Raw genomic sequence first — 16,557 nt, forward strand, 5'->3', positions numbered from 1 at the left:
GGCCCCGCCCCCTAGCAACGCGCTGGCTTGTGTTAACAACCGGCCCGGGATCAGAGGTCTGGGTCAACTGGGGGGCGGCAGCGGCGCTAAGCGGACTGTATGGCGGTGGCCTAGGCCCCTGGCGGAATTTTGGGACCTTTCGCGACTCTAGCGACTCTCAGGCTGCCTTCCCTTCTCGGTGGCGGGGCCTCTTTGGGCCCAGCGGCTGCGGGCGCACTGTAGGACAGGAAGATCCCCCCACTCTCCACCCCGCCGCCACCGGCCATGTGGACAGAGGAAGCCGGGGCGACCGCCGAGGCCCAGGAATCCGGCATCAGGAACAAGTCTAGCAGTTCCAGTCAAATCCCGGTGGTTGGGGTGGTGACGGAGGACGATGAGGCGCAGGTATGAGCAGGTGTCTGTGCTTTCAGAGGTGGAGGGGGTGGGAGTGAAGTCTCGAGACGGGGTCCAGACCTGGGGGTGGCAAGGGTGGAACTGGGGACAGGAGTGAAGATGGGGGAAGCCGCGGGATGGAGATTCCAAGCGCAGAGCTAATCCTGATCCCCCACCCCCTGCGAACTGCACCGGTTGCGAGGGGCTGGCTGTTGTCAACCATCCTGTCTGGGGACCAGCGCTGTGTGGTCCTCCTGGAGGGTCCTAGCAAACTGAGTAGGCGGGGTTTTGCCGCGCTTCTTCGAAAAGTGGTCATAGAGCTACAGGGAGGAAAGGAATCATTCTTAGCAAAATCTTGATTTGATGACCTGATCAGTTTGAACTGAACTTTTTAATACGTAGATCCCTGTTACCGAGTGATGTTCTTGATATAGATGTAAATTTTCCCATGCTTAAATTTGCTGCGACTAAAGCCTGCACCCAGAGGGGAGGAAAACGCTGTTAAATTAGAAATTAAGCATTTTTAAAATATGAAATTGGAAGCTGGTTGTTACACGTTGGGTCGGAGAGAACCGGGAGAGAATAGAGTTGATTTGTTTTATTATGCTTGTACTGTATTTGGTTTTGGGTTTGCTTTTGTTATGAATACAAAATTCACTCTTGGAAGTTGATCTGTTGAGAAATTCCATTTGAGGCCCTTGGATCTCTATTCGAGGCGGAGGTGTTTAGAAACCCCAAGTTGTTTGTTTCCTACTAGGATTCCATTGATCCCCCAGAGAGCCCTGATCGTGCCTTAAAAGCCGCGAATTCCTGGAGGAACCCTGTCCTGCCTCACACTAATGGTGTGGGGCCACTGTGGGAATTCCTGTTGAGGCTTCTCAAATCTCAGGCTGCGTCAGGAACCCTGTCTCTTGCGTTCACATCCTGGAGCCTTGGAGAGTTCCTTGGGAGTGGTCAGTTGACTGGGGAATAGAGTTGAGCTCTCTGAGGTCTGACATTTACGCAGTAACCTGCGGAGCAACAGCATTTTGCATGAGGAGAAATAGGTGTTAGGGGAATTTGCCTAATCGATTTTGTGGACCTATTCCCCTCTGGGCGGGGAGAATTTTGAGGAACAATAGCTCTCCACTCCCTGGGCTGCAAGAAAGATCAACAATACAGCCATACTCCCAGGCAAGGGGCAAAACTGAAAAGTATGTGAATTTGATAACTGATGGCTCTCAGTCTTCCTTTACTTGCTCCAAGAAAAATTGGGCAACGTTATACAAGGCAAGCAAGCGTGGATTTTTTTTTTTTTTTAGGGAAAAATACTTTTTAAAAGCCATTGCCAAAATAGTCCAAAACATACCAAATGAAACAAGTATACCTGTGTATATGTGTGTGCATTTTCTCCCCATTTTAATTTTCTTTCTTTTCTTTCATTACTACTGCTCTTTCCAGGGCCTAGGATTCTCTTCCAAGAAGAAAGCAATCAATTTGCATTAATTCATGTTTCTGACTTGTTAATTACTAATTCTAAGAGTAGTAACATTTTCGAAGTACTGAGGAAAAAGGTAGTTTCTCCCCAAAGAAATAGAATAGGAACTTTTTATAGCTGGGAGAAATCTTAGTGATCCTCAGCCTTCTTGTTTTTTGCCTGTGGTTGTTTTTACAAATGAGAACCCTAAGTTCATGAGAAGTTAACTGAGTTACTCAGTTTCTTTACTCATAGAATGGGGGTCTAGAGACCCTGGAACGAAAAAATGATAACCTTTTAGGCCTCTGCCTTAGGCCAGTTTAGGAAAGATCCTGGGAACTGTTTCCAGTTCTTTCAAACCACTGCACATTTGCAAACTTCTCTTCTGCCTGTGTGTGCTTCTGAGACAGTATATCCTAGTGGCTAAAGGTGAGAGTATCACAACTACTTCAGTTCATTGTCAGCTTCATCACTTACCAGCTATGTGACCAAAGACCAGTATCTTAACCTTTCTATCAAATGGAGATAATGACAGTACTCATGTCCATTGTAAAGATTAAATTAAATAATATATATAGGCCGGGTGTGGTGGTTCACACCTGTAATCCCAGCACTTTGAGAGGCTGGGGAGGGCAGATCACGAGTTCAGGAGATCAAGACCATCCTGGCCAACATGGTGAAACCCCGTCTCTACTAAAAATACAAAAATTAGGTGGGCATGGTGATGCACGCCTGTAGTCCAGCTACTTGGGAGGCTGAGGCAGGAGAATCACTTGAACATGGGAGGCAGAGGTTGAAGTGAGCCAAGATTGTGCCACTGCACTCCAGCCTGGCGACAGAGTGAGCCTCCGTCTCAAAAAAACAAAACAAAACAAAACAAAAAGAAATAATATATAAGCAAACTTATACAATAATATAGAGAACTTATAGAGAGACCTATATATATAATTGAAAACAAGCAGTTATCAACATCATCATTGTCATTGTCATCATCCTTTATCCAGGGAACTAGAGCTCATAAAGTTATTTGGGCCTTAAAGCTAAGGGATTCTCTAGAATTCTGATTGTTCCCACTGGCTTCCAGGATGTGAGAGTGAGACTGGATGCCCCTGAAATCTTACTTGCTTTAATGCAGATTTCGGTCTGCTCACTTTATCCCTTCAGAGATGTTTCTAAGTTGCAGCTGGATTTCCTAATATAGAAATGCTACTTTGGCTACCTGGGCTTTTGATAGCTGTTTTATATCATTTTCTTTATTACAGACCTAAATTGAACCTTTCAGTTACCCTAACCTTAGTTTTTAGTAATTAAAGAAATAGGCTTGAATATTGCTGCCTAAGGCAGCAGGTAAAATGTACGGGTTATTTTGCTGATTTTTCTGTGTGTATGCTTTACTTCTGCATTAAGTGGTATTTTTTTCCTGCATCTTTCACAAAAATAACTTTGTAAAAGGCAATAGCGCCTATAAATTCTATCTAAGCTACTACAAATGATATTCACAGAGTATTAGATTTTTCTAACTTTAATAACTTTGAAATGTTCTCTGATAGAATTATGGAAAATGTAAATATAGATTATGAGTAAAGTTATTAGTAAATAGGGAAAACAATAGTTTAGGAATCTGGGATTTTGAATTGTTATTTTCATTCCATGTTGTGAACTTCTCATAGACATATTCTATGTAAACATTATATCTTCAAATTTTCTCTCTATAAAAATTTTGATAATCCCTACTGTAGTGATTCCAGCGTCTTCTTTTTTAAAGTGATTATCATACTTTTCCAGTTTCGAAACAATAAAATAGTACCAGAATTTTGGTGGCCATTTTCTAATTGTGAGGAACTTAGGACATGTTGCTTGCCCTTTCTGTGTCTGTTTCCTCATCTGTAAAAGATATTTTTAGAAATGCCTACCTCATCGAATTATTGTGAGAATTAAAGTATTTGTAAGGCATTTAGCACAGTGCCCAGCACATACATTCCAAGTGCCCCATAAATGGTAACTTTCTGCTATTATTAATGACTCTAGTCATAACAGCTTTATTAAATTATTAAATAAATTCAGATGATATTTACAGGGTTATATGGTTTGGCTTTGTGTCCCCACCCAAATCTCATCTCGAATTGTAATCCCCAGGTGTTGAGGGAGGGACCTGGTGGGAGGTGATTGGATCATGGGGGTGATTTCCCCCATGCTGTTCTCATGATAGTGAGTTCTCACGAGATCTGATGGTTTTATAAGAGGTTCTTCCTCTTTGCTCTCTCTCTCTCTGTCTTTCCTGCCACCTGTGAAGGAGGTCTTTGCTTCCCCTTTGCCTTCCGCCATGACTGTTTTTCTTGAGGCCTCTCTAGCCAGGTGGAACTGTGAGTCAATTAAACCTCTTTCCTTTATAAATTACCCAGTCTTGGGTGTGTCTTCATAGCAGTGTGAAAACAGACTAATACACTGGGTATCAAAACCTACCAAATAGGAAGATAGTTCTCAGATTGTTTTTCTAGTATTAATCCCAGTGTTTATGTGGCTCTGGCTTCCTACAGGAAGGTAGAGGTAATGTAGTTTAAAGGGTGCTTTATCCCCTGGAGAGTGATGGGATTGGCAGTGAAATTCACCTTAATCATATGTTGAAATCACAAGATATCTAATTTATCTATTTTCTATTTAGTTTTGTTCCCCTCATTCTAAAGTATCCCAACCCCCTTTAGAGCAGTGCTTCTCAAATTTTAATGTGCATATGGAGCACATGGGGATCTTATTAAAATGTGGATTCTGATTCTGTAGGTCTTAGATGAACCCCAGCACTCCGCTTTTCTAACAGGTTTCCAGGTGATGCTTGTGCTGCTAGTTGGAGGACCTCATTTCCCACTTTGAATAACAATTAATATAATGATTAGTTGACTGGCGTAGGTATCATGCCTGAACTTCCTTGCTCAAATTTGCTCTCCCTCTGAGAACCCATGAGAACTTCCACAATCTTTTAGTTGATATCATATCCTGTCACTGTCAGTAATACTTCCATGAACTGTGTGCTTAAAATTGTCTAGCCTTGTTTATAGGGTTTTTGCAAGAAATAACCTCTGTAGTTGGCTGCATGTGTCTATAGTGCCAGCTACTTGAGAGGCTGAAGCAGGAGGATCGCTTGAGCCTAGGAATTCAAAGCTAGCCTGGGCAACATAGGGAGACCCCCACTCTTTAAAGAGAGGAGAGAGAGAGAGAGAGAGAGAGAGAGAGAGAGAGAGAGAGAGAGAGACTCCTTGGTTGTCCATTGAGGAGTCAGGCAGAGAACTAAGGAACAAAGAACCAGAGTTTCTACATTAGACAGACCTGCTGGCCCATTTATTATTAATAGCTACGTGGCTTTAACAAGTTAGGTCCCAGGGCCTCAGTTTCATTAAGAGGGATAATAGTGCTACCTTTACTTGGTAGATTTGAAGACTAATTGAGATCAAAAATGCCAGACACATGAAAGGACCACTATAAGTGTTAGTCTCTTTCCCTGTAACTGAGTATCAAATGAGCAGGTTTCTCCCTCTGAAATGTCCCTGGGTAAAGTGGGAAATAAGTTCATCCTATAATTTGAATGAAGTAAGTCTGATTGTCTTCAAAGCAATTTATTAAACTTTTGATCTTAAAAGGTTTTGTGAATGCTTTTACAATTTCTCCATAAACATCTTAAGATGATAGTATTTTGGTATTTACATATGTATGTTCTGTTTTGTTTCTATTCTCTGCTTGTGTGATCTCATTTACCCAAAATCTTCAATTGTCACGTTAAGCCTATGATTCAGAAACCTCTGCCCCAAATTTTTCTCATCTCCAACCCCCAACACAAACCTCTTCCTCCAGCATTCCCTGTCTCAGGAAATGGTGAAATCATTTATGTAATTCCTCAAGCCAGGGAATTGTCTTCAGCTTTTTCCTTCTTTCTCCCACTGCGTCCAGTAACTCATTAGGTCTTGATGAATCTACCTCTTGATGTTTTTAATTCCATTTGCTGTTGTCTATACCAGTTGCTGCTACCTATTCAAGGCCCAAAGTTACAATCTACCTCCAACCCAGTCTTCTCCCAGTCTACCTCCAAATCAGTCTCACACAGCATACAAGATGATCTTTTCATAATTAAATTCTTCTGGTTAAATCTTGTGGAAATAAATGAAGGCTACCACAATAAACAGAGACTGTTTATTCAGCGGTTGCTATAGGGAGGGATTCAGCCACTATCACTTTTTGGCAGAGACTCCAATGCAGCCTGGGAAGCTTTATAGTGGTAAAAAGAAAGGTGTGGGGGAGGCTTCAGGTCTACTCTAATTGTAGGTTGCTGACATGGGAAAGCTAGAGGTGGACTAGCTGGAAGTAGGGTATCCTCTGTGATTGACTTGGAAAGCATATTTGGCTTTCTCTGGTTGGTCTTAAGTTGGAAGCAGAGGGACAAAAACCGGGAAAGCTGGCAGTCATTGGCCAAATCCTGACTTTTCTGAGCCAATTGCAGCAGAGGTTGTTGGCCAGAGTTATTTTGTCACATATAGTCTGACCAGTTTTGTTTATATGTTCAGTCTCAAACCATTCAATGGCTTTTTAAGATCCTTGTGTTACATACAAAGCCTTCTATAAAATCCCATGCCAGACCAATAGCTGCATGAGGTGAGGACATTGTTATTCCCCACACCTAGCACAATTCCTGAAACAAAAAAAACCTACTAATAAATAGTTATAGAAGGAGGAAAAGTCTAGGGAAGGTAGAGGGAGAGAGAGAAATCTTTAAAAATCTGCCAAGCAGGTAAAACTAGAGTAACATGAAATGGATAATGCAAGATAAATCTAAGAGGAATCTATGCTTTAATCTTTACTACTCTCTGTTCTTTTAAAAATTATACCTGCTCATTTGGAGAAAAAATCTGAAAATACACACAAATATTAGAAAGAAAATCCTGCAATTGGGGTGGCCCAAGTGCAGTGCTCTTTACAGCTAATTGATTACAGCTAGTTACGGATTTCTTCCTTTTCCATTCCCACTGCTTCCCTTGATTAGCCTTAAAAAAAAAAATCCTGCATTGACATTTCATTCCAATATCCTTGTCTAACCTTCTAAACAAATATTTCAGAAAACCAGAAAAGAAAAACCCACTGTGTGTGTGTGTGTGTGTGTGTGTGTGTGTGTGTGCATGCGCGTATAAAATCTGAGAGTGTAGGAGGAAAAGAGAAAAGACAGCTGAGGTAGTGGTGGATATCACTGCCAAATCCCCAAATCTTAAAAGGCAGAAGTCTATTTACCAAAATTTTTTGTAACAGTAAATTTAACTATTTAACAGTAATATTTAACAATTTTTAATGGTAACATAAGACCAGGTATAGATTAGTATTTAGTAAATCCTTTTTAAAATTATTTTAAAAAGTAAAAATGGCTGGGCATGTTGGCTCATGCCTGTAATTTCAAAACTTTGGGAGGCTGAGACTGGCAGATTGCTTGAGCCCAGGCATTCCAGAACAGCCTGGGCAACATGGCGACACTCTATCTCTACAAAAACTACAAAAATTAGCAAAGTATGGGGTGGTGTGCCTCTGTAGTCCCAGCTGCTCAGGAGGCTGAGGTGGAAAGATTACCTGAGCCTAGGGAGGTTGAGGTAAGCAGTGAGCCGTGATTGCACCACTGCACTCCAGCCTGAGCAACAGAGTAAGACTCTATGTCAAAAATAAATAAAAATAAATATAATTTTGAGTAAATGAGCTCATTCAGATACTTACTCCACAGACTTAAAGTTAGCATGTTTCATTACAAATTGTTTTTGATGCCATGACATCTCAGTTAGGATTAATTTCTAAAAATTGTTTTTGAAAGAAATTTCTTGAGATCAGAATATATGAATTTGTAATTTTTAAAGGCAAGGAAATACTAAAACTAAGACAATGAATAATGATTATGTAGAAGTATGGAAAAGTATGTATTGCAGATTTAAAACTCAGAAGCTGCCATGGTATTAACTAACACTAAGTGAAATTGTGTAAAATACTTATGCATGTAAGGAAAAACAAAATATATAAAAATAAAAATAGATGCATTTACTACATGATAGGAATAAGTAGGATTTTTTCGCTTTTGTTTGTATCATCATTACATCACCTTTTCAAACATTTATTTTAAAGTAGAAGTAAGCGTGAAAGCAGGAAAGAGGATACAAAGGAAACTGGGAGAGCTTAACTCCTGTAATGGGGGTAAGCACTGTGACATAACCCTGAATTAAGATAAAATGTCAGGTAGCAAGGCATTAACCCCCAAGATAAATATAGTCAAAACCACACTTAGAATTTGTAGATCCCTGTATCATCATAAATACTTTACCTCTGATCGGATTATTTCATTTTTGTTGTTGTTGGGGTTGTTTGTTTTGTTTTGTTTTGCTATTTGTATTTGTTTGTTTGTTTTTTGAGACGGAGTCTCACTCTGTCACCCAGGTTGGAGTGCAGTGGTGTGATCTCGAATCACTGCAACCTCCACCTCCCGGGTTCAAGCAATTCTTCTGCCTCAGCCTCCCGAGTAGCTGGGATTACAGGTGCCCGCCATCACACCTGGCTAATGTTTTGTATTTTTAGTAAAGACAGAGTTTCATCATGTTTGCTAGGCTGGTCTCGAACTCCTAACCTCAGATGATCCACCCGCCTCCTCCTCTCAAGCGCTGGGATTATAGGCGTGAGCCATCACGGCCGGCCTTGTTTTGCTATTGAGTTGTGTTCCTTGTATATTCTTGTTATTAATCCCTTGTCAGATGGATAGGTTGCAAATATTTTCTCCCATTTTTTGGGTTGTCTCTTCACTCTGTTAATTGTTTTCTTTCCTGTGGGTACACTTTTTAGCTTGGTGTAATCCCGTTTGTCTATTTTTGCTTTTGTGGCCTGCACTTTTGAGGTCCTACCCAAAAAAACCTGTGCCCAGACTAGTGTCCTAAAGTGTTTCCCCAATGTTTTATTCCAGTGACTTCTTAGTTTGGGGTCTTATATTTAAGTCTTTAATCCATTTTGATTTGATTTTTTTATTTGGTGAGACATAGGAGTCTAGTTTCATTCTTCTGCATATGTCTGTCCAGTTTTCCTGACACCATTTATTGAAGAGACTGTTCTTTCCCCACTGTATGTTCTTGGTACCTTTGTCAAAAATGATTTGGCTGTGAATGCAGGGACTTATTTCTGGGTTCTCTGTTCTGTTTCATTAGCCTATGTGTGTGTTTTTATGCCAGTACCATGCTGTGTTGGTTACTATAGTTTTGCAGTATATTTTGAAGTCAGGTAGTGTGGTGCCTCCAGGTCTTTTCTTTTTGCTCAGGATTGCTTTGGGTGCTCGCGGTCTACTACTTAAACTTTGGATGATAGTACCCATTTCCTTCCCCGTTTACCTATGAATAACTTTATTATAATATAGCCTCTTCTTGGTTGCATTTTCCAAATCTTTATTAAGCAACTAACAATATTATATGTCAGGCCCAGTGTTGGATGCCGGGAGTGCCTGAAAGCAAAAAAATTTTTGCTCTTGAGAGAACTTTGGGGCAGGGAGTGGTGGGGAACGAACATGTAGACCCTTTCAGAACAATGTGATGGGAATTTTAATGGATATAAACTTAGGGTGCTATGAGAGCACGGCATTTTTCTAGCCTTTTTCATCCTTTGGGAAGGTAACACCTGAGCTTCGTCTTGAAGGACCTGTGGGAATTAACCAAGGAGAGGAATAGGAATGTAACAACATGAGTGACAACAGAGGAGATGTGAGAGGCATTAATGGGGAGTCATTGAATAGTTTAGACGGGTCATGTTCAGATTTCAGTTTTATTGTTCTGATGGTAGAATAGAGGATGGTGTTGAAGGGTGCAAGAGTGGAGTCGACGAGAACAGCAGGAACCCCTTGAAATTAAGTAAGAGCTAAAAACTGAATAAATCAGTAAGATGGAATGGACTCAAGAAATATTTAAGATGTAAAATCTGTAGAACTTGGAGGTTCCTGTTTTTTTAATGTGGATGACTGGAAGAATGCTGGTACTAACTGAGATAAGGGGATACCTAGTTGAGAAAAGCAATCTCCTACCTATAGTTTAGAAGCTACTCTTACCATGTATCTGCATAGGCAAACTTAGTGTAATGTGTATACAAGATAATTTTATTTCTCAACTTATGGAAGTACTATTATTCTAAATATTTTCTTGGGCCCTTCAGGGCTGATGAAATTTTAAAACATTAAGATTATACAAAATACTAGAATTCAGGAGGGGTTTTTTACTCCAAAATCTATTTATTCCTGTGAGTTTTCATCTACTGTTCATTCTCCCCTTACTATCGTAGTGTCATAAAACATTTTTTAAGTTACCAAGGGAAAGTATCATATAAATTAGTGTGTTAGATATGACTTATTGATATAGAAGATGATCTAGAATAGTAAGAGTTGTATGTTTTTTAGGATGTTTTCAAGCCTATGGACCTTAATCGTGTCATCAAACTCCTCGAAGAGACTGATAAAGTGAGTAAGCTTTGAGAGAAAATTACTCCGCTGCATTACTTACAAACTATTTCCCTGAAAGGTAACATATATTCCTTCAAATGTAAGTCTCATTTATCTCGTTTTGTTGAAAACATTTTAAATAGTACATATCTTATATTCAAGGACTATTTAAATTTAGTATGAATATATTTAATGAAGTGGGGAGACTGGAGGAAGAGAATAGATTTGCTTTTATGAGATAGACAAACCCATGGTGGCTGTAACAGAAGGAATCCTAAGAGTACAGAAAGGATCATCTAGCCTCTGTTAAGTGCTTGTTACCTAGTAGGATTGGAGGACAGAAATGGTAGAAAACAGGGTACCGTGGTGTACTAATTATGAAATCAGGATAGATACACACAAACATGTACACATAGATAATTTATTTTGAGAACAATCATATATAAGATGTAATGGAAATTAAGTTATTTTAGACACAAGACTCAAAATTGGGAAAGCAGGCATTGAGAGAAAAGACAACAAATGTATATGCACACATGCTCATATACCACCTGATGTTATCAAGAATCGACTGAATGCCTAAAAGCCAGCACACGCTAGGAACTTATGTGGTGATTTCCAAAAAGGAATACGTATTGTTAGTAAGTAGAAAATGAGTTGACCACAAATGCCCATCAATGATAGACTGGATAAAGAAAACGTGGACATATACACCATGGAATACTATGCAGCCATAAAAAAGGATGAGTTCCTGTCCTTTCCAGGGACATGGATGAAGCTGGAAACCATAATTCTCAGCAAACTAACACAGGAACAGAAATCCAAACACTGCATGTTCTCACTGATAAGTGGGAGGTGAACAATGAGAACACATGGACACAGGGAGGGGAACGTCACATACCAGGGCCTGTCAGGGGATGGGGGACTATGGGAAGGATAGCATTAGGAGAAATACCTAATGTAGATGATGGGTTGATGGGTGCAGCAAACCACATGGCACGTGTATACCTATGTAACAAACCTTCACATTCTGCATGTGTATCCCAGAACTTAAAGTATAAAAAAAAAAAAAAAATTTTTAAGTAAGTGGGTTGACCATAGTATAGCCTATCAAAAGAAAACAATGTCCTATGAATAGGAGGCACAAAAATTTGGTCACTGTTTTAACATTTTTTATTCTCTGCTTTTTTACATATAAAGGAGAAAAAGTGACTATTGGAATAATTTATCTTTTTCTGGCTATCATTGTTGTGAAAAGTTATTTTTTATTGTGACTATATCTACATTTCCTTAAAAAACCACAACTGCATAGAGTGCCTATTAGCTGTTTAATAAGGCTACAGAGAAAAAGTATAGACAATATCACAGCTTTTCAGGAACATTTAAGATTAAAAGGACAGACAGAATTCAGTCATGGAAACACATCACTGTGTAGAAGTTTTACTTGCTTATTTTCATTTTTAATTGACTTAAGATGTTTGGCTTGCACAGAACACTGAGCATATTTTAGAAGTTAAAAATACAATCTCTACAGTCAGCTTTCCAAATTTGTCTTCTAACACCACCACTTTTTAGCTGTGTATTTTGGACACGTTACTTTAAAATGTTTCAGCTTGTGTTTCCTATTCTGGAAAACAGAGATCATAGTAGTATCTTCCTAATAGGGTCATTTTGGAAATTAATGAAGTGATATGTATATATGGTACCCATGTGGTACATGACGTAGAAAAAATATTCAATGTACTTTAGCTGTTGTTAATATTATTTCTGGAAACAATTACTGCTTTTATATTAACCTGGTTTTGATTCCCAATTTCCTAATCAAATTTAAATAATAGTTTATTTTTGATACATAATGTCTGTAAATGTTTATGGGGTACTTGTGATATTTTGTTACATGCATAAAATGTGTAATGATCAAGTCAGAGTATTTAGGCTATCTACCACCTCTAGCATTTATCATTTCTATGTGTTGGGAGCATTTCAAATCCCCTCTTCTAGCTAGTTTGAAATATACAATACATTGTTGTTGACTTTAGTCACCCTACTTTGCTAACAAATATTCACTAACACAGTCTTCCTATCTTTTGTAATTATCATTCTAGTCTATATCTCCATGAGAACAACTTTTTTAGCTTCCACACATGAGTGAAAATGTGTGATATTTGTCTTTCTAAACATGGCTTATTTCACTTAATATCTTCTAGTTCCATCCATGCTGCTACAAATGACAGAATTTCATTCTTTTTTATGGCTTAATAGGATTCCATTGTATATATAGACCATATTTTCTTTATCCATTCATCCATTGATGGACACTTAAGTTGATTCTGTATCTTTGCTATTGTGAGTAGTGCTGCAATAAACATGGAACTGTAGGTATCTCATTGATACACTGATTTCCTTTCCTTTGGATAAATACCCAGTAGTGAGATTGCTAGATCATACAGTCGTTCTGATAGTTTATTTTTACCTTCACTGTTTCAGAAAACATTTTATAACGTTTACATTATAATATAGTAATTTAAGAATTACTTGATAATTTTAAAGTGTCTACTTTTATGTTGAAGAATTTTTTAAAATCTCAACAGATTTAAAAGCACAAAAGAACTAAAATAGGTGATCTGTTTTAGGATGGCTTGGAAGAAAAACAACTTAAATTTGTCAAGAAACTGGTACAGTGTTATCAGAATGGACTTGTATCCTTTACATATATATGTATGTTCATTTCATTTATTCTGAAATGAGAATTTCTTTTAGAAAATGTGTTAGTTTTCCATTGCTGTTGTAACAAATTACCATAAATTTGATGGCTTAAAACAACATAAAGTTATTATCATACAGTTTTGGAGGTTAGAAGTCCAAAATCAGCCTCAGTGGACTAAAGTCAAGATGTTGACAGGGCTGGTTTCTCCTGAAGACTCTAGAAAGGAATCATTTCCTTGCCTTCCCCAGCTTCTGGAGGCTTCCTACATTCCTTGCCTCATGCCCTCTTCCCCCCACTGGCATCACTCTCACCTCTGCTGCTGTCGTCACATCATCTTCTCTGTCTGACCCTCCCTTCCTCCCTCTTTCCTTTATAAGGATCCCTGTGATTACGGTGGGCCCACCTGGATAATCTAGTATAATTTTCTCATCTCAAAATTCCTAATCATATGTGAAAAGTCCCTTTGCTATGTAACATAGTTACAGGTTCCAGGAATTAGGACATAGATATCTTGGGGAAGGCCATTAATCTGTCTACCACAGAAATACTGGAGAGGCCATTATTCTGTCTACCACAGAAAATATCTAACATTTTATGTTCTTTATAAGACTGTATTTTCTATCAGATAATGTAAATAAAATTGAAGAAACAATATAACACAAGTAACTGTGGATAATGTCAGTTTTTGTCGATTCAGAAAGACAATGGATGTAGTTAGAGGGCCAAGTCAAAGTCATTATTTCTATTAATTTACATGGGCAGTTGTACCTTTGATAAGCTCTCCACCCTTGTAAAGTAATAGAAGCTCATGAGGTTGTTAGCAAGATTAGATGAGATCATGTACATCCAAGTGCTTGATAATCTGCAAAATATTATATAAATATATTATCCCTACTAAATATACGACCCTGACCAGAATACATGAAAACCAGTGTGTCTTAAAACTATCTGTACGTAAAAGCCAGGTGTGATGGCTTACACCTATAATCCCAGCACTTTGGGAGGCCAAGACAGGAGGATTGCTTGAGGCTAGGAGTTCAAGACCAGACTGGTCAACATACCAAGACCCTGCCTCTACAAAAAAACAAATAGCCAGGTGTGGTGGTGTGTGCCCATATTCCTAGCTACTGGGAAGGCTAAGACAGGAGGATTGCTGAAACCCAGGAATTCAAGGTTACAGTGATCAAAGATTTTGACACTATACTCCAGTGTGAACAACTGAGTGAGACCCTGTCTCAAAAACAAACAAACAAACACTACCTTTGGATAAGAACCAGTTTGTTTTGTTTTGTTTTGGGGTGTTTGTTTGTTTGTTTGTTTGTTTGTTTTTGACACAGAGTCTCCATCCAGCCTTAGTTGCCCAGACTGGAGTATAGCGGGGCAGTCATAGCTCACTGCAACTTCAAACTCCTGGGCTTAAGCGATCCTCTCACCTCAGCCTCCCAAGTAGCTGGGACTACAGGAATGCACCCACCACACCCAGTTAATTCTTTATTTTTTTGTGGAGTCTCATTATGTTGTCCAGGTTGGTCTCAAATTCCTCAGCTGAAACAATCCTCTCGCCTCGGCCTCCCAAAGTGCTGGGATTACAGGTGTGAGCCACCACAGCTGGCCATTTTTTTTTAACATTTACATATATATGCTATTGTAAAATACAATAAAAGTATCCCACAAATATTAGATTGTTATAAAAGTTTTTATATGTCCACTCTCACTTTATGTATTCATTTTGTCACAGACTAGTAAATATACTTCCAGAACTGACAGTGGTCCATAGACCACACTTTGAATAGTATTCATCTAAATCAAGCTTGTCCAACCCTCAACCTGTGGGCTGCATGCTGCCCAGGATGGCTTGGAATGCAGCCCAACACAAATTTGTAAACTCCTTACAACATTATGATTTTTTTGATAATTTTTTTTAGTTCATCAGCTATCATTAGTGTTTGAGTATTTTATGTGTGACCCAAGACAATTCTTCTTCTTCCAGTGTGGGCCAGGGAATCCAAAAGACTGAACACCCTGAAAATGATCTTGAACAGTTGTCTGACTTGGTCTAAAGAAGTTATCAAGCCCGTGCATTGTGGCTCATGCCTGTAATCTCAGCACCCTAGGAGTCTGAGGCAGGAGGATCATTTGAGGCCAGGAGTTTGAAACCAGCCTGGGCAACATAGCAAGACCCCATCTCTAAAAAAAAAAATAGCCATGTATGGCGATGCACACCTGTAGTTTTATCTTCTCCAGAGGCTGAGGCTGAGGTGGAAGGGTCGTTTGAGCCCAGAAATTCGAGGCTGCAGTGAGCTATGTTTGTGCCACTGTACTCCAACCTGGGTATGGGTGACTGAGTGAGATCCTGTCTCTAAAAAAAAGAAAAAAAGAAAAGTTATCAAGCTCTAATATTAGCTCATTCCAGTTCAAAACCTCTTAAGACTTCCATTCAGGAAAATGTTTCTTATAATTTAATCTAAATCTTTTATTATGTTTTAGCCTTGGTTTTATTTGGACCTGTTCCATCTTAGGGCTTGTGTATATCAAGCCCTATTTACTGGTAGCTGAAAATGTCTACTAGCAGGGATTTCTTTTCCTATTTTAACCTGACATCTCAACACCTCCATTTTTTTTTTCTTCATGTTAAACCGTTGGTGGCAATTGGCTCTATTTCTAAATCCCTCTCATAGGCTGGCTATAGAAGTTGTAAAACTTAGCAAAGTTAGAGAAGTATCTTGGTCACTTCTCTAGGAAGTTAACAGAGCTTTCTATTTCCAGTGTACCCTGCTCTCCCATCTTTTCCTAAAAGGTCCTAGAAAAAGGCTAGGAGTAATAAGATTCAACCAAGAAGTGTAAGTCACATCTACCATAATTTCTTAGCTGTAAAACAAAATCAATGAAATGTGTTTATGTGCCAATAGGATTTTTTTTTTTTTTTGAGACAGAATCTCACTGTGTCACTCAGGCTGCAGTGCAATGGCATGATCTCAGCTCACTGCAATCTCCGCCTCCCGGCTTCAAGCGATTCTCCTGCCTCAGCCTCCTGAATAGCTGGGATTACAGGCACCACCACGCCCAGCGAATTTTGTATTTTTAGTAGAGACGGGGTTTTACCATGTTGGTCAGGCTGGTCTCGAACTCCTGACCTCGTGATCCACCTGCCTCGGACTCCCAAAGTGCTGGGATTACAGGCGTGAGCCAGCAGGATTTTTAAATAGATAAAATAAAAGATGCTTTTATCTGAATATCTAGAAAGTCCATATTTTGCTTTCATATTAGTTTCAGATAAAATCCTAACCAATTTAAGCCTTAAACACAGGAAAATGCATCTCAGTTTAATATTAATAAAATAGTGGAGTAAAGTAATGTTTAGGTTGCTTATTCTGAGACAGCATATGTTTGTGTGGGCAGGGGTAGGGGGTGAAGATGAAGGGTATAATTGAGCCTAATCAGTAAGTTAATGTTTTCAATGTGCTATTACTCATTGCCAGTGGGAAGTTATTGATCAACTGAATCTGTGTTGTAGCAGTTGGTAATCCAATTCTAAAGTTGTGAGAG

The 16,557-nt window shown here is 39.1% G+C and overlaps 1 protein-coding gene across 27 annotated transcripts in view, besides 1 other annotated feature; it reads left to right on the forward strand.

Annotated features, from left to right (window-relative positions):
- The first annotated feature begins 13 nt into the window (after positions 1-13).
- The window catches only part of CFAP69 (cilia and flagella associated protein 69), a 78,550-nt gene continuing 62,006 nt past the window's right edge, over positions 14-16,557 (forward strand). For 23 of the 27 annotated variants that reach the window (XR_927530.2, XR_927531.3, XM_011516577.3 and 20 more), the window contains exons 1-3: positions 14-384; positions 10,263-10,322; positions 12,938-13,003. Coding sequence is in view for 22 of the 27 variants with exons in the window: in XM_011516577.3 (XP_011514879.1) it covers positions 265-384; positions 10,263-10,322; positions 12,938-13,003 (246 nt within the window). In the remaining 5 variants the exon portion in view is untranslated. The other 4 variants (XM_047420848.1, XM_047420852.1, XM_017012631.2 and 1 more) reach the window with 3 other exon arrangements.
- Positions 879-1,391: an enhancer, noted in NCBI's record as "NANOG hESC enhancer chr7:89875353-89875865 (GRCh37/hg19 assembly coordinates)". NCBI's record gives its function as "activates a minimal SCP1, AML or CMV promoter by ChIP-STARR-seq in naive H9 embryonic stem cells {active_cell/tissue: H9 hESC(naive)}" and the evidence as "EXISTENCE:reporter gene assay evidence [ECO:0000049][PMID:30033119]".

Source organism: Homo sapiens, chromosome 7, assembly GCF_000001405.40.
Source record: "Homo sapiens chromosome 7, GRCh38.p14 Primary Assembly".
Classification (NCBI taxonomy): Eukaryota; Metazoa; Chordata; class Mammalia; order Primates; family Hominidae; genus Homo; species Homo sapiens.